Source organism: Homo sapiens, chromosome 4, assembly GCF_000001405.40.
Source record: "Homo sapiens chromosome 4, GRCh38.p14 Primary Assembly".
Taxonomy (NCBI): domain Eukaryota; kingdom Metazoa; phylum Chordata; class Mammalia; order Primates; family Hominidae; genus Homo; species Homo sapiens.
This window is the reverse complement of record NC_000004.12, coordinates 173,370,771-173,391,871: the sequence shown is the minus strand read 5'-3', so window position 1 is coordinate 173,391,871 and position 21,101 is coordinate 173,370,771. Positions and strand designations below refer to the sequence as shown.

At 36.7% G+C, this 21,101-nt stretch overlaps 2 protein-coding genes across 4 annotated transcripts in view, besides 5 other annotated features; one reads left to right on the top strand and one right to left on the bottom strand.

Moving 5' to 3' along the window:
- SCRG1 (stimulator of chondrogenesis 1) overlaps window positions 1-7,171 on the top strand; it is a 134,444-nt gene extending 127,273 nt beyond the window's left edge. For all 3 annotated transcript variants that reach the window (XM_047449563.1, NM_001329597.2, NM_007281.4), the window contains 2 exons: window positions 444-699; window positions 3,477-7,171. In XM_047449563.1, coding sequence (XP_047305519.1) covers window positions 458-699; window positions 3,477-3,531 — 297 coding nt within the window. In that variant the 5' untranslated portion in view covers window positions 444-457 and the 3' untranslated portion in view covers window positions 3,532-7,171. The remainder of the gene's footprint in view (window positions 1-443; window positions 700-3,476) is intronic.
- A 7,168-nt stretch (window positions 7,172-14,339) lies between these two features.
- On the bottom strand, window positions 14,340-20,918 carry SAP30 (Sin3A associated protein 30). The gene is made up of 4 exons (NM_003864.4): window positions 20,375-20,918; window positions 18,357-18,482; window positions 17,835-17,933; window positions 14,340-14,667 (listed from the first exon to the last, which is right to left on the bottom strand). The coding sequence occupies exons 1-4, from the start codon at window positions 20,687-20,689 to the stop codon at window positions 14,545-14,547; spliced, it is 663 nt and encodes a 220-aa protein (NP_003855.1). The 5' UTR covers window positions 20,690-20,918; the 3' UTR covers window positions 14,340-14,544.
- Window positions 19,808-20,107: an enhancer, noted in NCBI's record as "active region_22159". NCBI's record gives its function as "activates an Ori minimal core promoter by ATAC-STARR-seq in GM12878 lymphoblastoid cells {active_cell/tissue: GM12878}" and the evidence as "EXISTENCE:reporter gene assay evidence [ECO:0000049][PMID:35858748]".
- Window positions 19,808-20,607: a biological region, named in NCBI's record as "H3K27ac hESC enhancer GRCh37_chr4:174292649-174293212".
- Window positions 19,811-20,374: an enhancer, noted in NCBI's record as "H3K27ac hESC enhancer chr4:174292649-174293212 (GRCh37/hg19 assembly coordinates)". NCBI's record gives its function as "activates a minimal SCP1, AML or CMV promoter by ChIP-STARR-seq in primed H9 embryonic stem cells {active_cell/tissue: H9 hESC(primed)}" and the evidence as "EXISTENCE:reporter gene assay evidence [ECO:0000049][PMID:30033119]".
- Window positions 20,228-20,607: a silencer, noted in NCBI's record as "silent region_15813". NCBI's record gives its function as "represses an Ori minimal core promoter by ATAC-STARR-seq in GM12878 lymphoblastoid cells {active_cell/tissue: GM12878}" and the evidence as "EXISTENCE:reporter gene assay evidence [ECO:0000049][PMID:35858748]".
- Window positions 20,888-21,057: a silencer, noted in NCBI's record as "silent region_15812". NCBI's record gives its function as "represses an Ori minimal core promoter by ATAC-STARR-seq in GM12878 lymphoblastoid cells {active_cell/tissue: GM12878}" and the evidence as "EXISTENCE:reporter gene assay evidence [ECO:0000049][PMID:35858748]".

The following is a 21,101-nucleotide window of genomic DNA, read 5'->3' as shown; positions in this document are numbered from 1 at the left end:
GGCACAATCATGGTTCACTGCAGCCTCAAACTCCTGGGCTCAAGTGGTCCTGAGTAGCTGGGACTACAGGCACATGCCAGCATGCCTGGCTAATTTTTTAATTTTTTGTAGATACAGGGTCTTACTATGTTGCTTAGACTGGTCTCAAACTTCTGGGTTCAAGCAATCCTTGTACATAGGCCTCCCATGCTGAGATTACAGGCATGAGCCACTGTGCCTGGCCCAGAAGCCTGCGCATTTGATTTTTAACAAATATTCCAAATGGTTTTTTATCATAGATGGTCATAAAACTACACTTTGAGAAACACAAACAGGATTGTAGAAAAGCCCAACTCCCATTCTTTCTATCCAAGGGTTTATAAGCATGCTACAGAACTTCATTCAGATGAATTCTATCTTTAAAAAACAAACATTGACACATTTTGGTCTTTCTTCTATTTCAGGGCCAAAAGCCAAAATGAAACTGATGGTACTTGTTTTCACCATTGGGCTAACTTTGCTGCTAGGAGTTCAAGCCATGCCTGCAAATCGCCTCTCTTGCTACAGAAAGATACTAAAAGATCACAACTGTCACAACCTTCCGGAAGGAGTAGCTGACCTGACACAGATTGATGTCAATGTCCAGGATCATTTCTGGGATGGGAAGGGATGTGAGATGATCTGTTACTGCAACTTCAGCGAATTGCTCTGCTGCCCAAAGTAAGGAAATGGTATCACAAAGTGTATTGCCTGGAAATGTATGCAGAACAACTTTTAGCTACATCTTCATAATAGGTTTGCTGAAATTAATAACCCTTTTAGTAAAATCCTGTTCCAATCCCAGCTCTTTTCTAGAATAATCACTATTGTGTAAAGAACTAAATGTTTTCATTTAAATGAAAGTTCAAATGGAATTTAGCTGAGTTTAATAAAAGTAAATTAAATCCAGAAAATAATACTTCAATCTATTAAATTCTAAACTCACCATCTGATTTTTACCCCCCCAAAAATAAAAATCTACCAGTAGCAGAAGTCAATCTCAAGGTTGAACTCTTAAACCAACTTGAAAACCAGTAAAAGGTTTTAGATAAAAGATCCCAGTGAGGCTGGGCCCGGTGGCTCACGCCTGTAATCCCAGCACTTTGGGAGGCTGAGTTGGGCAGATCACCTGAGGTCAGGAGTTCGAGATCAACTTGGCCAACATGGTGAAACCCCGTTCTATGCAAAATACAAAATACAAAAAAAATACAAAATTAGCTGGGCGTGGTGGCATGTGCCTGTAATCCCAGCTACTCAGGAAGCTGAGGCAGGAGAATTGCTTGAACCTGAGAGGCTGAGGTTGCAGTGAGCCGAGATCGCACCATTGCACTCCAGCCTGGGTGACAAGAGTGAAACTCCATCTCAAAAAAAAAAAAAAAAACGAACAACAACAACAAAAAACTCAGTGAATGGATCAAGTAATTAACTGAACAGAAAAGTTTAGTAACGGTCAAAAATAAATTTCTAGCTCTATGTATAAGTTAACCAGAAATGAACTAGATAGAAGTTCAAGACAATTTATCTACCATTGTTTTCTATTTATATTTTAAGCTTAAATATTTATTGATTTATCTACTATCGTTTTGTACTTAAAATACAAGTATACGTGGTGAAACTCTGTCTCTACAAAAATACAAAAAAAATTAGCCAGGCATGGTGGCACATGCCTGTAATCCCAGCTACTTGGGAGGCTGAGACAGGAGAATCACTTGAACCCAGGAGGAGGAGGTTGCAGTGAGCCTAGATCGTGCCATTGCACTCCAGCCTGGGCGACAAAGCAAGACTTAATCTCAAAAAAACAAACAAACAAAAAAAGGTATAAAATGATGGTAGATAAATTCATAAATATTTTTAGTTCTTGATTTTAAAATCATTTCCCCCTGGTTATTGAGGAATCTTTCAAATCCCATGGTCTTGGATATTTCATATTGAAATTAGCTTTTTCAAATTACTTTCAACAGATGTCATCATATTTTCATCCTTCTAAGAAATCTGTGAAATAGAAAAGGTAGATATAACCATCTTACCAAGGAAAGGTGCAGAGTTGAAGTGACCAGTACTATCCCACATAACTAGCTAATATCAACACTGGGATTAGAACCCACGTGTTCTGATTAAGAACAGATTTTTCTTCTACCAAGCCAGCTGGTTCTCAAAGTGTGGTTCCCAGAACAGCAGCTTCAGCATCACCTGAGTTTTTAAAATTGCATATCCATCCTTGGACTCCTCCCCAGACCTACTGAATCAGAAACTCTGGAGGTAGGACCCAGCAATTATGGTTGTTTGTTTGTTTGTTTGTTTGTTTGTTTGTTTGTTTTGAGACGGAATCTTGCTCTGTTGCCCAGGCTGGAGTGCAGTGGCACGATCTCGTCTCACTGGAAGCTCTTCCTCCCTGGTTCACGCCATTCTCCTCCCTCAGCCTCTCGAGTAGCTGGGACTACAGGCGCCCGCCACCTCGCCCGGCTAATTCTTTTTGTATTTTTAGTAGAGAAGGGGTTTCACCGTGTTGGTCAGGATGGTCTCGATATCCTGACCTCGTGATCTGCCCGCCTTGGCCTCCCAAAGTGCTGGGATTACAGGCGTGAACCACTGCGCCCGGCCGGGACCCAGCAATTATGTTTTAACAAACCTGCCAGGTGATTCTAATGCATAGTAAAGTTTAAGAATCACTGTACTAAACAATGATGCCAAGAACTTGAGTTAATTAATCTCATGAAGTGACAGTTTTTCCTGTACTACATAAATGAAATGCCAACTAATATTAAAATGCCATGTTTGCTTTTTTTTTGTATGACTTGAAAACAGTTTACTGAAATGGACTTACATTTATATTATGATATAATTTTGTGATTATGTCTGTTAAGGGATGAGAACAGCAGTGTGGGTATACTTGATTTTGGGAAAATCAAAGAGAAATACTGCTAAGTATATTTCTAATAAGCCATAATTATAATATCACCTTGCATTTGTATATAATTTTGTATTATTCCATGCATTTTTATATATTACTTTATGTGATCTTTTCAACCAGGGAAAGTTAAGTAGCTTTGTAACATTTCTCCTTTCCCCATAAAACCTAGAAATTTATTTAATAAACAAGAAATGTTGAATCTTCTGTTTCCTAACTGCAGATTTAAACTTCATGGCCTATCCTCATATAAGAGACATGAAATTGTATACATGACCATAAAGTTTTGAAATTACCTAATATTTCTTTTTCTTCGTAAATGACAGCATGATATCAATGGCAAATGCGGGGAAAGTAGACAAATCGATTACCTTCTCGGTCTTTGTTGCTTCTGTGGCAAGTCCTCCCACTCATCTCTTTACATTTTAGTCACCTAAAAAGAATAATCATAACTGAAATCCTGGAAATCACTGTCTATTTTTAACCTAGAATAGACTAACTAATATCTTAGCCTTAAGGTGAATTTAATTGATGCTCTATTTTCTTTCAGAGACGTTTTCTTTGGACCAAAGATCTCTTTCGTGATTCCTTGCAACAATCAATGAGAATCTTCATGTATTCTGGAGAACACCATTCCTGATTTCCCACAAACTGCACTACATCAGTATAACTGCATTTCTAGTTTCTATATAGTGCAATAGAGCATAGATTCTATAAATTCTTACTTGTCTAAGACAAGTAAATCTGTGTTAAACAAGTAGTAATAAAAGTTAATTCAATCTAATTTTTCTCTGTGGACATTGTTGGCATTGGTTAAAAATTTTGCCTAGAAAATGTAATCTATGAGGTGTTCATTATACTCAGTTAAAGAGTTCTGTCCCCCAGATGAAGAGCCATAGGCATGGCTCAAGGATTGAAAATACTTTCAGTCCTTAGTTGACAGTTATTAACCACATATTGAAAGAACCAGGTATAAGCTGAGATTCTTGGAAGGGAGCTAGAAATTTTCTAGTAAGAAGGAAAAAGGGACCAGCCTGGGCAACATAGTGAGACCCCCTCTTTACAAAAAAATTAAAAAATTAGCAGGTTGTGGGTGCCCACATCTGTAGTTCTAGTTACTCAAGAGGGTCATTTGAATCTAGAATTTCGAGTCTGCAGTGAGCTATGATTGCACTACTGCACTCTAGCCTGGGTGACAGAGCAAGACCCTGTCTCGAAAAAAAAAAAAAAAAAAAAAAAAGGAAAAGGGAACAATATTTGAGGGTATATTATGTATGCTAATAACTTTAAGTACATTTCAGGCTGGGACTGGTGACTAATGCCTGTAATCCTAGCATTTTGGGAGGCCAAGGCGGGAAGATCACTTGAGTCCAGGAGTTTGAGACCAGCCTGGGCAACATAGTGAGATCCTGTCTTTACAAAAAAAATTTAAAAATTAGCTGCATGGCGGCATGCACCTGTAGTCCCAGCTATTTGGGAGGCTGAGGTAGGAGGATCACTCGAGCCCAGAAATTCAAGGCTGCAGTGAGCTAAGATGATGCCACTGAACTCCACCATGGAACCACAGAGTGAGACTCTGTCTCAAACAAACAAACAAAAACCAAGAACTTTAAGCACATTTCATTTTACTCTCTTAAAAAACAACAACAAAAGCCTTCAAGGTAAATATTCTCAGCCCCATTTTTCAGCTGCTAACTCAAGTTTAAGATATTTGCTAAAAATCAAGGCAGATTTTCAAGAGTTCCAATTCCAAAGCCCATATGCCACACACAGATGTATCCTTAAAACCATGATACATTTCCTAAAGTATCCATTTTTAAGAATAACAAAACACACATTAAAAGAAACATAATGGATGAGAATTTAAAAGTATCATACATTTTAAAAGTAAATAAAACAGGGAACTTCAAAGGTATTTTCTGATTGTTAGAGGAGACAGCTTTGGATTATGCCCCATAACTTAAGAGGTATGTGACTCATATTGCCATCAGAGGTAATGTCAGAAAGTCTTTCATGTTATAAAAATGTATTCAAAGCCTGCTAAGTGCCAGCCATTATTAAGATCTGGGCATACAGTAATGAATAAAATGGACTTATCTTCTTGGAACTTGTGCTCTAACAAAGGTGTGATTGCTATAAACAAGTAATTATTTATAAATGTGAAGCCTGCTACAGAGAAGTATAGGGTGCCATACAAAGTATTGTGGGGAAATGTTTGAGAGACACCATACCACACAGGCAATCTGGGAGATATCATTTTATGAATAAAAGTGACATTATTTCATTAAAATATATCCTTGGAGGTCCCTGATCTGTTTCTGGAGACCACACCCAGAACAGTATCTGGTATCTAATCTGTGTTTAGTAAGTGTTACTGGGCTGAAAGACCACACCCAAAACAGTGTCTGGTATCTAATCTGTGTAAATAAGTGTTACTGGGCTGGACCAAACAATTTTGAGGTAGTCACAATTCAGTGTCTTAAAGTGTATATAAACACGGCTGGGTGCGGTGGCTCACGCCTGTAATCCCAGCACTTTGGGAGGCGGAGGCGGGCTTATCACGAGGTCAGGAGATCAAGACCATCCTGGCTAATACGGTGAAACCTCGTCTCTACTAAAAATACAAAAAAAAAAAAAAAAAAAATTAGCTGGGCGTGGTGGCAGGCGCCTCTAGTCCCAGCTATTTGGGAGGCTGAGGCAGGAGAATGGCGTGAACCCAGGAGGTGGAGCTTGCAGTGAGCTGAGATCGTGCCACTGCACTCCAGCCTGGGCGACAGAGTGAGACTCCGTCCCCCCAAAAAAAAAGTGTATATAAACACAAGTCAGAACATGTTTTCGAACAGTGTAAGCTCCTATAAAATACATGAAGTGAAATTGTAAAATAATATAGATAGGTAGGTAGATGGATAATATTAGTTGTTTTATCAAGATAGCATGTGATTTGATTGGCCTTTCTTTCTTCACTGAATTGACTGGTAATGAAATCAGCCTAACTCAATAATGAAAGTTTCATATCCATTCTGGAACAATGCATAGAATAGGTAAATTTAAAAAAACTATCAGCAAACCAGTTTTATTTTCTACTTGGTAGGAACTCTCCTTGAGGGGGAAAAAGCATTAAAGATCCAGTGTCTCCATTTACAAATGACACATCAGCATAAGGACATATGTGAGACAACAACGGCTTTTTAGTAAACGTTCCCTTACTACTGCAATCAAAGCCTGGTAAGAAAAATTGTATCTAACAAAGCTAAATATTTAATAAATAAAATTTTATAAATTATTCATCATAATGTCTTTCTGAAAATATGAAATTCAGTTATTTCTTTTAGAAATGAATGCATTATACAAGTACACAGCCTTCTTTATATTACAAAATAAATGTAAAAACATACATTCACACAACTTACCTTATATAACTATTTCTCTAACTTGGTCAATGCATTTTTAAAAACAATAGATTTTTTTTTTTTTTTGAAACTGAGTCTCACTCTGTCACCCAGGCCAGAGTACAGTGGCACAATCTTGACTCACTGCAACCTCTGCCTCCCAGGTTCAAGTGATACTTGTGCTTCAACCTCCTGAGTAGCTGGGACTACAGGCACTTGTCACCATGCTCAGCTAATTTTTGTATTTTTTAGTAGAAATGAGGTTTTGCCATGTTGGACAGGCTGGTCTCCAACTCCTGGCCTCAAATGATCTGCCTGCCTTGGCCTCCCAAAGTGTTAGGATTACAGGCATGAGTTTTTCCAATAGATTTTAGTTATAAGACAACTAAGCTTTTATTAAAATTTTATTATTCTTCTAAACACCATCTTGCAGCAACTGAATGAGATAGGTACTGATATTATCCTTGTTCTATGGACAAAAAAGCTAAGGTTTAAAGATATTAAGTAGTTTGTCTAAGTTTACATTATCAGTGAGCAATTGAGCCAGATTTTGAATATGGCCAGTCTTACACTAGCATCTAGAGTCTTAACCACTATGTTGTTTAACAGCATTACCTAATGCATTATTTCCTTTACAGAAAGGCAAACTTTTACATGGATAGGACACACAATTGTACATTTCAGATAGCTCATATATGCTAAAAGCTTACTGAACAAGTATTTCTGTATTGTTATCTTTGACTTTCTATATCATTGTTCTTACTGTGAATCCCACGTTACTGAGCACAAAGTTGACAGTAATACATATTAATAGCTCACCTCTTTTTAATTAAAATTCATCTTTTCTTCATCGTAATTCGCAGAGACTTGTTGAATATTTTTGTTTGCTGGGATTAGGTACTGATCCTAAAGGATTATTAGAGAATTGGAAGGAAGATGGAGAACCAAAACAATGAGCAACAACTATTGGGGGAAAAAAAAGACAAGGTAGGAACATTCACAGATCACTTTGCGACTTTAATGTCCTTATAATTATCAAAAGGTACATGTAAGTTATTTCCATAATAAATCATTTTTTGTAAAATATTATAGCAGGTGTTTTTAAAATATAAAACTCTCTATAAGTAAAGCACTACAGGCTTCAAAATAATTTTCCCAAAAGGAAAAAAATCAAATTCATGTATTTCTAAATCAATCTTGCATTGACAGTCTAAGCCTAAACTTTTCTCTCAAAAATTTGAAGAGAAACTGATATTAGAAAACTAAAGTAAATTGATACTAAATTTACTTCTATGCAATGGTATCACCATAAAATGCTCATCTTTGTATGGTGGTATATCTAGAGAAAAATGTGTAGAATATACTTACCTGATATATTCTAAGAACTTTAAAAGCCATAGTATATTTTCAAGAGTTTATGTGATCTACATTTTCAGAGGTTAAGAAGTCAAATGAAAAGTCCATTGGATATAATGTATAAAAAGCTGACTTGATATCTACATTTAGTATCATTAAAGTATATATACATAAATACATATATATACTATATATAAAATATATATTCATATATGTAATAATCTGGTAGCAATTAATATGACTATTATTTGAGAACTATAGTTGACTGTGTAGACTATTAATGCAACTAGGACAAGATACACACAATAAACTCAAGTGTACAGCAAGCATCAACTCTTAGCTAGAAAGAAATGCAAGGAATTCATAATCACAAAGGAATAAATTCTATAGTAAGCAATATTAACCCTTAAAAATATACATATAAGTATAAAAACAGCAAATTTTCCTCTGAATATTAGCTTTCCTGCATCTATTATTTTAGCTTATAAGAAAAACCTTGCTTGACATTTTAAAAATAACTCCACTAAATGAATAAACAATAACATGACAAAAATTTATTTTGAACCACCATCACTTGCTTAGATATCATAATCTGCATTTTACTATTAAAACGTTATGTAAATATGTGCAAATTATAAACAAAAAAAAGCTGGGATGGCTATACTAATAACAGACAAATTAGATGTTAAGTAAAAACATGTTACAAGAGCAAAGATGGACATTTTATGTTGTTAAGTTTCAATTTATCAAAAAGATATAACAATTATAAACATATATGCACCATATGACAGCCAGAAAATATATAAAACAAACCTTTAGAAAACTGAAGGGAGAAATATACAGTTCTACAATAATAGTTGGAGACCTTAATGCCTCACTTTCCACAATTGATAGACAAGTAGAAAGAAAACCAATAAGGAAGTAGGAGGCTTGAACAATACTACAAAACCAACTAGACCCCAGAGACACGTACAGAACATTCCACTCAACAATAGCAGAATACAGTCTTCTCAAGTACACATGGGACATTCTTCAGGATAGACTATATGTTCTTCCATAAAACAATTATCTATAAGCTTAAAAAGACTAAGGTGATACATACTATCTTTTTGAACCACAATAAAATGAGTAATCAATACAGAAGGAAAACTAGAAAATTCACAAACACCTGGAACTAAGCAATATACTTGTTCACAAAAAGTATATTGCTTCACAACAAGTATATTGCTTAGTTCCAGGTATTTGTGAATTTTCTTTAGTGGTTTAAAGAATAAATCACTAGAGAAATTAGATAATAATTTAAGATGACTGAAAACAAAAACAAACATTCCAAAACTTACAAAATGCAGGAAAAACTGTATTCAGAGAAAAATTTACAGCTGTAAATGCCTGCATTAAAAAAGAAAAATATCAAATCAACCTAAATTTACACATTAAGAAAACAGACAAAGAAGAGCAAACTAAATCCAAAGCCAGCAGAAGATAATGAAGATCCGAAAAGAGAAAAATGAAATAGAGAAAAAAATATAATCCATGAGATCAAAGAAAATACCAACAAAATTGATAAATCCTTAGCTAGACTACTAAGAAAAAAGAGAGAAGACATAAATAAGTAGAATCAGAAATAAAGGTAGGGATATTACTGCTGACCTTACAGAAATTAAAAGTATTATAAGAGAATTATAGGAACAATTCGTATGACAACAAGTTAGATAATCTAGGTGAAATAGACAAATTCCATGACTTACCAAAAATAACTTAAAAGAAACACAAAGTCTCAACAGACCTATATATAACAAAAAGACCTATATAAGTAAAAAGATTAAATCCGTCAAAACTCTTCCATCGAAGAAATAGCCTAGACCATATAGGTTCACCCATAAGTTCTGTCAAACATTTAAAGATGAATTAATATCATTCTTACTCAAAAATCTCCAAAAATAGAAGAGGAAAGAATACTTCCTAACACGTTCTATGAGGCCAGCATTATCCTGATACCAAAGTCAGATAAAGATACCATAAGAAAAATATAGACCAATATCCCTTATGAGTATAGATGCAAACACCGTCAACAAAATATTAACAAGCCAAATCCCACAGAACATTAAAAAAATTATGCACTATGACCAAGTGGGATTTATCCCAGAAATGCGAGGGTGGTTCAACATAAGAAGGTCAATGTAATATACACTAAAAAAAAAAAAAGTCATCTCAATACTACTAAGGAAAAAAAAATCATCTCAATACTAAAAGTATTTGACTAAATTCAACACCCTTTCATGATAAAAAAACATTTAGCAAATTAGCAACAGAAGAGGACTTCCTTAACATGACAAAGAACATTTATGAAAACCCACAGCTAACATCACACTGAATGGTCAGACTGAAAGTTTTCCTCCTGAGAAAAGGAACAAGACAACAATTCCTGCTTTCACCACTACTGTTTAACATTGTACTGGAAATCGTAGCCAGGGCAATTTGGCAAGGAAAAGAAATAAAAGGCATCCAAATTGGGAAGGAAGAAGTAAAACCATTTTTGTTTGCAGATAACATGATTCTATATATAGAAAAATCCCATGGAATCCACACACACACAAAAAAAATTACTAGAGCTGATCAATTCAGCACAGTGGCAGCATCAGCACACACCTCTAATGAATGATTCAAAAAAGAATTTAAGAAAACAATTATAATAGTGTCAAAAAGAAGAAAATACATAAACATAAATTTAACCAAGAGGTGAAAGACTTGTACACTGGAAACTATAAAACACTGCAGAAATTAAAGAAGACCTAAAAAAATGGAAAGATATCCCACAATCATGGATTGGAATGCTTAATATTGTTAAGCTGGCAATCTGAAAATGGTCCATAGATTCAATGCAATCTCCACCAAAATTCTAATAGCCTTTTGGGCAAAAAATGAAAAAAACCAATCTTCAAATTCATATGGAACAGCAAGGGGCTCTGAACAGCCAAAACAATACTGAAAAAGAAAAACAAAGTAGAAGGACTCCTACTTCCTGATTTCAAAACTTATTACAAGTCTACAGTAGTCAAGAGTATAGTATTGGCATAAGAATAAATACATAGATCATGGAATAGAATTGAGAGTGCAGAAATAAACATCTATGGCCAACTGATTTCAAGAGGGTCAAGACTATTCAGTTGGGAAAAAATAGTTTCTTCAACAAATCACACTGGACAAGTGGCTAATCACATGCAAAAGAATGAAGTTGGACCCCTACCTCATTCATGTATAAAAATTGATTCACAACAGTTCAACAATCTAAATTTAGGAGTTAAAACTGTAGAACTCCTAGAAAACATATACATTAATGTTTATGATGTTGGTTTTGGCAATGGATTCTTTTGACACCAAAAATATGAGCAACAAAGGAAAAAATAGATAAATTGGACTATGTAAAAATTTAAACTTTTGTGCATCAAAGGACATTATCAGTACTGTGAAAAGGCAACTTACAGAATGAGAGAAAATATTTACAAATCATGTATCTTATAAGGGTTTAATACTCACAATAAATAAACAGTCCTACATTTCAACAACAAAAAACAACCCAACTAAAAAAAAAGAATAAAAAGGACTTGAATAAACACTTCTCCAAAGAAGATATATAAGTGGCCAAGAGCACATGAAAAGATATTCAACAAAATTGATCATTAAGGAAATATAAATAAAATCCACAATGAGATACCACTTCACACCCAGTAGGATGGCTTTAATTTTTTTTTTAATGAAATACAAGTGTTAGTGAATTGAATAGAAGCCTTTATACATTGCTGGTAGAAATGTAAAAGAGTATAGCAACTTGGAAAAGATTGGAAGTTCCTCAAAAAGTTAAGTACAGAATTATTTACGTACCAGCAGTTCTACTGCTAGGTATACACCCAAGAGAAATGAAAACATATGTTCACAGAAAAACTCGTACATGAATGTTTACAGCAGCATTATTCATAATAGCCAAAGGTAGAAACCCAATGTTCATCAACAAATAAATGGATAAATAAACTGTGTTCAATAGATACAATGGAATACTATTCAGCCTGAAAAAGGAAGTACTGCAACTTGGATGAACCTTGAAAACATGCTTTTTTAGCATTATGCTTTTTGGCATGTTTTCAAGGTTCATCCAATTTGCAGTACTTCATTGTATGATTCCCTTATAATATATCCAGAATAGGCAAATCCATAGAGATAAAAAGCAGAATGGAGGTTACCAGGGAATAGGGAGAGGGAAGAAGGCGGAGTGACTATGTATGGCTGTTTTTGTTGGGTGACAAGAAAGTTTTGAAATTAGAGCTGCTGGTTATACAGTATTGCAAATACATTGAATACCACCATATTGTATACTTTAAAATGATTAATTGTATATTTTATTATGTTTCTTAATTTTAAGACTTCATGTAGAAAAACATAGAATTTATTTTTTGTAAAGACATGTATTTCAGGCATTAATTTTTAGGCCTTTCCCAAAATTATTCTTTTGAAGCTAGTAATCAAATAACTAACTTATTTTTTGAGCCCCTGCTATCCATTCAGTATGCTTTTTCTCCTACTTCTAGTGGCATTTAAATTTAGATTCTTCTCTTAATGCTCTAACATCAAAAGTAACCTATACCCTTACAGAAATGAGTTTCCATTCATTTTTTGTTCAGATATAGATAAGTAAAAATAGTTTCTAATGAATCCATCATTTAAAAAATCCAATGGTAACTGAAATTTTCACATAAAACTGACTTTTACATTGCAGCTTCTTGAGTTACTCAGCTTTGGTGAGGTTCTGGAAGTTCTCAACTTACAAGAACTGATTTTTCATATTTTAAATTGTTTTAACAAGGATTTGATTTCATTTAATAACTACCATCCAGAACTCTTCATTCATATTTTATAAAACTACATTTTATTATACAAATAATTATATGAAATAAACATTGCCAGTCAAAGGTTATGTTCATACTTTTATGTCAGCAAATAATTTCAAGTTGTTTTTTTTTTTCACAAGAACAGAATATGGGTCTTGTTTTGTTTTCTGTTTTGTTTTTGCTTTTGTTTTTTGAGTCAGGGTCTCACTCCAACGCCCAGGCTGGAGTGCGGTGCTGCAATCGTGGCTCACTGCAGCCCGTCTCCCAGGCTCAAGTGATTTTCCCACCTCAGCCTCCCAAGTAGCTGGGACTATAGATGCATGCCACCACGCCTATCTAATTTTTGTATTTTTTTGTGGAGATAGGGTTTCGCCATTCTGCCAACAGTGGCCTTGAATGCCTGGGCTCAAGCGATCTGCCCACCTTGGTCTCCTAAAGTGCTGGGATTACAGGTGTGAGCCACTGTACCCGGCCTCAAAATGTGTTTCTATAAGAAATCTTCTCACAGATTTCCAGAATGTCGGAAATGAGAAGTTTCTATAATAGCAATTATCACAGACTCTGCTTGTCAATAAAGTAGCAAGTAAATCTTTAAATGGTCATAGCAAAACCAACGACCAGTTGCTTTATTTTTCATTATATTTTCTAGCTGTCAATACATTAAGAACACTTGAAAATATGCACAGTCACCTACTAATGAACTAGTACTTTAGATGTAGTACTTTAGTTGCATCAGTGGTTCTCAACTAGCTGTGATTTTTGACCCTCAAAGTATGTTTGGCAGTGTCTAGAGGAACTTTTGGTTGTCACACCTTGGGGGAGCTACTGGCACCTACTGAGTGGACTTAGGGATGTTGCTAATCCTCCAATAGACTGAACGGCCTCACACAAAAAAAGAATTAACAAGTCCAAATGTCAACTTTGAGAAATCATGAGCTACATTAATGGTCTCATCCATTTCCAGCCTAAAATCTGCAGCTTTATCTCAGAACAGTTTGCTGAAGCTCGTTTTTTTATGTCACAAGCTATAAATTTGATTTGTAATTATAAGAATTTAGCTAAACAATATAATCTCAAGAAAAGCAGAGATTTAGAATGTTTGATAGAAAACTGACAGAGAATGAAACATAAAAAGGAGATATAAATCAAGTCAGAGCCATATATAACCAAAATTTAAATGAAGATCTGGATAGATATCTAGACCTCTCCAACTTATTAGTTACAATTTGCAATGTAAACAGTACAGGACATCACTAAAAATTAAGGGGCATAGCAGAGGTACTTTCTATATTCATGCCACATAAATATCTTTTCTCGAAGACAAAATTTTGAAAAACAGCTATTTAATTTTATACTCTTATTTCAACTTTCAGCATTGTGTTTATCTTTGCTGGCACATTAAGTCTTCTTTGGAAGGAGGTGGGTATATAAATTAAACCATTTGTTCTTCCTAGTACTTCATCAAGTAATAATAACAAAAAAAAGGAAATAAAAAAGAAGTTGCATTCCAAGAGAAGTTTATTTTTCAAATTTGCTAGCCCTATAAAGCACTTTAAAAAATAATGCTATTTAGATTATCTTCACTTCCAAGTCAGATTGTCCCAGAGAATGCAAATGTGCTACATTTGTTACTTCTCCTTACCCTGTTAATTTCTTGGAAGTTTAAAAAAAAAAAAAAAAAAGGATTACAAAATGAAGGACTTTACATTAAAATCTCAATACTGATCTCTTAGTCAGTTTAAAAGAAAAATCAAGTTTCACAAAATAAATACACTGAAGCAACTATAATAGTAATAACCTTTATTTAAAATAGATTTAATTTAGGAAAGCTCATTTTATATGAGTTTCCAACTAATTATTAGAGTCAGAAACAAAGAAAATAAAATCAGAGAAAATCCTCTGTAGAAAAAATACACAAAGAACATTTCTACATGTGAAAAAACAGTAAACAGTGTTAACATCCAAGTTATTAGTCTCAATTCCACGTCTCCTAGTGAACACCACTATCAACCTTGAGATCTGATTTGTTCTTGTCATTCTTCACTGAGTAGATGAAATATGTTAAGGTGTCTTTTTCATTCACTGGAATAGACCTAAAGTGGCAACCAACTATCTACAAAGAAAAGAAAAATTAAGGAAATTAAATTTTAGATATAACAGGTTTCATAAACTACGTAAAAAATACGGTTTCATCAAAAGAAAAAGTGCTATGTGATAAGGGCTATTTCCTTTAAAAATTATATTTAACAAAATATCAACAAGACAGAAAGCATTCAAGAATAAAATGTTACGAACAAGAGATAGTGTGATTTCAAAGGACCCTTTGACCCACTCAATTTAATATACATTGATTAGAAAATATATTTTCCTTTTATTTATTTTAAATTTTATAATTGGGCCAGGCGTGGTGGCTCATGCCTGTAATCCCAGCACTTTGGGAGGCAGAGGTGGGTGGATCACTTGAGCCCAGGAGTTTGAGACCAGCCTGAGCAACATGACGAAACCCCATCTCTACCAAAAAAAATACAAAAATTAGATAGGCCTGGTGGTGTACACCTGTAATCCTAGCTACTCAGAAGGCTTAGACAGGAGGATTGCTTGAACCCAGAAGGTGGAGGTTGCAGTGAGCTGAGATCATGCCACTGGACTTCAGCCTGGGCAACAGAGCAAGACTCTGTCTCAAAAAAAGATAAATAAATAAAATAAAAATAATAAATTTTATAATTAGAATCTAGAATAGGGAATAAATGATTTTACTTTTAAACTTTAAATGAGATAAAACAGACGTAAGAGATCACATGCATCATTAAACCTGCAATGGTTTAGACTCTACTGATAGAAAAAGAAGTATGAAGTTGAAAACTTTTGCTAGTAGAGAAACCAACAATAACATATAAATTGTTTGCTGCAAATTATATTCATTCATTCACACCTTGGTAGCATTCTTTGGTTAAGGTTCCTTGAAAATTTTTCTGAATAAAAATTATGAATGGAAATGAGAGGAGAAAGAGGGATGTTCAATGAAGGATGTTTACCTGCTTCCTTGCTTTTTCATTGTGCTAACATAACATGCATACTACAATTACTAATAGAAGAATAATAGACTTACCTGGGGTGCTGACATGCATATTTAGATTCCAGAAAATAAAATTTCTTAAGAAAAAAGTTCATCCACACAATAATTAAGAGACTTAAGACTTAGTCATACAACCCTGGATTCCCTTAAAACAGTGGTCCCCAACCTTTTTGGCACCAGAGATAGATTTCACGGAAGGCAATTTTTGCACAGATTGAGGGTGGCGGAGTTGGTTTTGGTATGAAATTGTTCCACCTCAGATCATCAGGCATTAGATTCTTATAACAAGCATACAATCTAGATCCCTCACATGTGCACTTCACAAGAGGGTTTGGACTCCTCTGAGAATCTAATTCTGTGGCTGATCTGACAGGAGGCGGAGCTCAGGCAGTAATGCTTGCTAGCTGGTGCTCACCTCCTGCTCTGCGGACCCGTTCCTAACAGGCCACCAACCAGTACCAGTCCATGGCCCTGGGGTTGGGGACCCCTCTCTTAAAATATATGTACTACATCTGCACATTCCTTAACTTGCTAATATCTGCATTTCTGATTAAGTAAAATATAACACTCATGGCTATCTCTTATGTATAAAAAAGAAAATAGCTCTGGAAATAATATAACTGTTCTTAGAAGGTCAGTTTATCAAAAATTACAGGTTTAATTTATACCTAAATATAACATTTAAAATAATCAGTTCTTTGGTTCTCATTTGTCCCAAAACAGGGGTGCCTTCACTCCATTAGTACCTATTGAAATATTTCATCATGGTGGGCAATAACTATATTTATGTTACATTAATGTATTGTACAACCCCAAAAGAACTTGATCTTTTAAATCAAAATTAAAGAAAAATTAATTAGATCTGTGTTGCCCAACCAAGGATAAAAAATTTTAGCTAAATAGTTAATATATTAGATTTTAACAATGTTAAAAAGCATTCTGCCAAATAAATGTAACTTCTATTCATATTTCATTTTATTCAATAGGCACATTTTAGAAAATGTTGGGTAACTACTAAATCCATGCAAAGAATATGAGAAAACTGATTTATATTTCTACACTTCTATTTTGTCTAGTAGGCCAAATTTTCTTTTTTTAGAGATGGAGTGTTGCTATGTTGCCCATGGTGACTCAAACTCCTAGGCTTAATCAATCCTCCTCAGTAGCTGCAAGTAAAAATTTTTATTTTAAATATGATTAAAATATATATATATAAATCTATAAACATCTTAATAAGATGCACAGATTTCTTGGTTCTATTATATCCTGAAAACATATGCATGCTCCGTTAACTTTTCACAACTCAGTGACTGACTAGAAGTCCTCTATCAAAGCAAACTACAAGTAAAAGCTTGGGTAAAAGAAAAGCTTTTGCCTCTTCTAGATGTGAAAAAAACATGGATGTCTCTAATAAAACAAACATCAACAAGGACAAATTTTGAAATAGTTAAGTCAGCAAATTATAAAAATACTGTTTAGGGTCTGATTTGTAGGCCTATTCCACCACTTTAAAATATAAATTCTAATAAGGACATTAAAGCTTGTTAATTAATTTTATTATGCCTCAATTAGGTGCTCAAATGTTTACTGGTTAAACGGAGTTTTAAAATTAATAGATTTCTAAAGTGAGGATTAAAAAAACTCTCATTCAACATTTTGAGGGCCAGGCACGGTGGCTCACACTGGTAATCCCAGCACTCTGGTAGGCTGAGGTGGGCAGATCACTTGAAGTCAGGAGTTTGAAACAAGTCTGGCCAACATGGTGAAACCCTATCTCTACTAAAAATATTATACAAAAATTAGCCTGGTGTGGTGGTGCACACCTGAAGTCCCAGGTACTTGGGAGGCTGAGGCTGGAGAATTGCTTGAACCTGGTAGGTAGAGGTTTCAATGAGCCAAGATCATGCCACTGCACTCCAGCCTGGGTGACAGAGTGAGATTCTGTCTCAAAAAACAATCAACACATTTTGAAAGCCAGTATCAGAAGGTGCTGTACACAATCTACTAAGCAGTCATTACAAAAAGGAATTTCCTAAGTGGCAGACAAACATTTCTACACAACTAGATTCTTCCACAACAGATTTTTTAACTTTGTTCTTTCTAATTAAAATGTACTGTTACATACACTACATTAAAACTTCCATTAGCACTTAATAACCTCTCGGTTGTGCAGATAGTTCAAATAGTTTAAAACTCATATATACCTCAACAAGTTGTGCTTTATTAAGTCCTGGTCTGGTTGGTAGCTTGAAGTGTCTTTTGTATCTCCTAAGTGTATTTACTTGTAATTGGTATAAATCAACCTAGAAAAAATTAACATGTATAAATGAGTTCATACAATTTGTTGAAAATTTATCATTGATATGTATAATAACAAACATTTTAACTTCAGCACAATAAAATTTACTTCCAAAATCAAAAAAAATTTAAAAAATTTATATAATCCAACATAAATTATTAAAGAATTTAATCTTTTGGGGATAAATAATATAAACTGAGGTCAAAAAAAGAGTAAGTTATGTGACAACAGAGCTGCAAAAATTGTCAATCTAAAATGTAACAATTCAAACTGTGTAAATGCATGTCAACTGGCTATATTTAATTTTGCTTTCATTTTCAGATTTCTCAAATGTTTTAAACACTTAAAAGATTGTTCATATCTTTTTATAAAGGCTTCAGAATGCACTACTTAGGATTTACATTAAGCATAAAAAACTTCCATCTACCTCTGGGGTATCAATATCTTGAACAGGTGAATCACCTCCATCATCATCACTCCCTTTTCTCTTTCTTCTGTTTCGAACACTCTGAATTAAGTTTTTATGATAATCACATATGTAAAGATGCCTTGCCTGAAACAGAAAAGTTTTACACACTGCTTATGATTACAGTAAAATGTGTCTATGTATTAGTAAAACACATATGCCACAGTGAGTTCTTAAAAATAAAGACAGCCAAGATGGGCCATTGTTAAGATAATGGAATATTTATACGTTTAAATCCTATACGCTAAAACATAAGATGTCTGGAATACTGTTAAAAGGATGGTGGATGGGGAAGGAGGGGTTGGTTCCATCTGGGGAAGGGGGTAAGGGAGGGAGGGAGAGGAGAATGAGAAATTCCAACCCTCTGGGTTTTGTCATCAAATTGCAGTGAGGGGCTGGGCGCGGTGGTTCACGCCTGTAATCCCAGCACTTTGGGAGGCCAAGGCGGGTGGATCACTTGAGCTCAGGAGTTCCACACAAGCCTGGCCAACATAGTGAAATCCCGTCTCTACTAAAAATACAAAAAATTAGGCGGGCATGGTGGCAGTAGCCTGTAATCCCAGCTACTCAGGAGGCTATGGCAGGAGAATCACTTGAACCTGGTGGTTGGAGGTTGCAGTGAGCCGAGATCGCGCCACTGCACTCCAGCCTGGGCAACAGAGTGAGACTTTGTCTTAAATAAATAAACAAACAGATAGCAGTAAGGATGACCTGAATTAGTTCATGTTGAATTTTTAACTGATGAGGGGAAAGATGATGTTGCTCACAGTTTTGCTACTTGACAGTACTTTCTCTACTTAAAAGAACAGCATATTTTAGTAATATAATGTATGCTTTCCAGTCTTTCTAACTGAATACCCAAATTATAGTCCAGATACAAAACCATTCGTTTTCACAAATGAGCCATCGACTTCAAAACTATATTTAAATTTCAGTTATACATTTTTCTGAATATTAAATCAATGTATTTATCTATAACACATTTTTCCAAAACAATCTGAAATTATGCAAGTTCACCTGAAGAGTTTCTCATGGATAACACTGAAAACTGTTTAAACGGGCAAAAAGTGTCACAAATAAACTTTTCAAAAACTTTAATTACATATACTCCTGCGAGCTGTAGACTAGCATTTGAAACAAACACGGACTGAGCTAACAGGCTTTTACATTTACTTCTAAGCCAAGCGCAAGATAAAAATATGCAGGACTTGTGGTAGGTTCTCGATACCATGTTATTCATTTACCGCTAGCCAGATCTCCCAAAAGTAGCAACGGCTGTTTCTAAAAACCTCATAGATGGTCAAACGAAAAGACGTGCAAAAAATCCTGATGGCTGCCAAGGGGATGGCAAAACCGCAGAGGCTACGTGCTCCCCACCATCGGAGTAGCTGCCCTCGGAGCTGACAGCGCAAACGCCGTTTACAACCCCGGCTCACTGCCAGGCGGCGGGTGAGCTCGGCTTCCCTCTCACTCCGCTCCGGAGGAGACGGAACACAGAAAAGAACAGGATCTTCCTTGTTCGTGAAGGTCCTCCGCTTTCTCCTAGACGACGGGATTTAGTACCGCCTGGGGCCAAACACCAGCTTGGGCAGCAAAACAAAGGCGCCTCCATTCCAGAAGAGCTGCCGGGCTGCAAGAAAACTACTCTGGGCCCTCAGTGCGCCGGTCCCCTTTGTTTCGTGTCCCGGTCGCAGAGGAGAAGGAAGAGGGAAGACTGCGCGGGAGAGACGCAGGCAGCGGGAGGTTGGGGGCCAGGGTGGGAAAGAAGAGGGGAACGACAGCCTGTGTGTGGTGTGTGTGTTGGGGTGGCGGTAGGAGTTGCAGCGACTTTGTTATTTGCTTCCAAACACAGACTCCACGAGACCGCACTGCAGCCAGTGCGGTTGTCTGGGGGACCCCGCCGACAACCCGTGCCTTTGCCCGGCTCCTGGGGCCCCACCGAGGGGCGGGAGGGCAGGGCGGTCCCGCGGTTTACTTACGCTCTTATCCAGCTCGATCTTCACCTTCTTCTGGGAGATGCTCTTCTGGATCCTCTTGCTGAAGCTGGCGTTGCCTGCCGCCCGGCCGCACCGCTCACCATCCTCCCGCAGGCAGCACAGTTGCCCGGGGCCCGGCCCGGCCGCCCCCGGGGGCCCAGCCGCTGAGACCGCCCCCGCGCCCGGCACCTCAGCCCCGGTGCCCGCGCCGGTCCCGTTCCCCGCCGAGGCGGCGGCGGCCGCGGCAGCGACCACTGCGGCCACTGCGGCGGCCGCATCCCCGCCGCGGCTCATCTCGTCAGGCGTGAAGCCGTTCATGTCTCCGAGCTCCCGAGGCCGGCGCTGACAGAAATCCCCTCTCTCCTGGCCGCTCCGCCTCTCTCCGCTCCGGCAGCGGCAATTCACTCTGCACACCAAGTTAGACAGCGGCACGGCCAAACACCAACTGTCCCGGGCCTGCTGGTCTCTGCTGGCACCGAAACAGTGGACAGTGCTGAGGGCCGGGACGCAGACTCGAGCGTCTCCTGGAGCGGGGACCCCGCTCACTGTCACATGGGGACTTCAGCAGTTGGACCGCTACGCCTCCGCCTCCCTCCGGCCCCGGGACCTGCGCAAGCGCGACGCGCCCCCTCCCGTCCCGCCCCTTTCTTTCTGCCGCGCGGCCCCATGGGAATTGTAGTTCTCTGCTGCAGAGTCAACCTGAGCTCCGCCCTGACCCCGCGCCATGAGG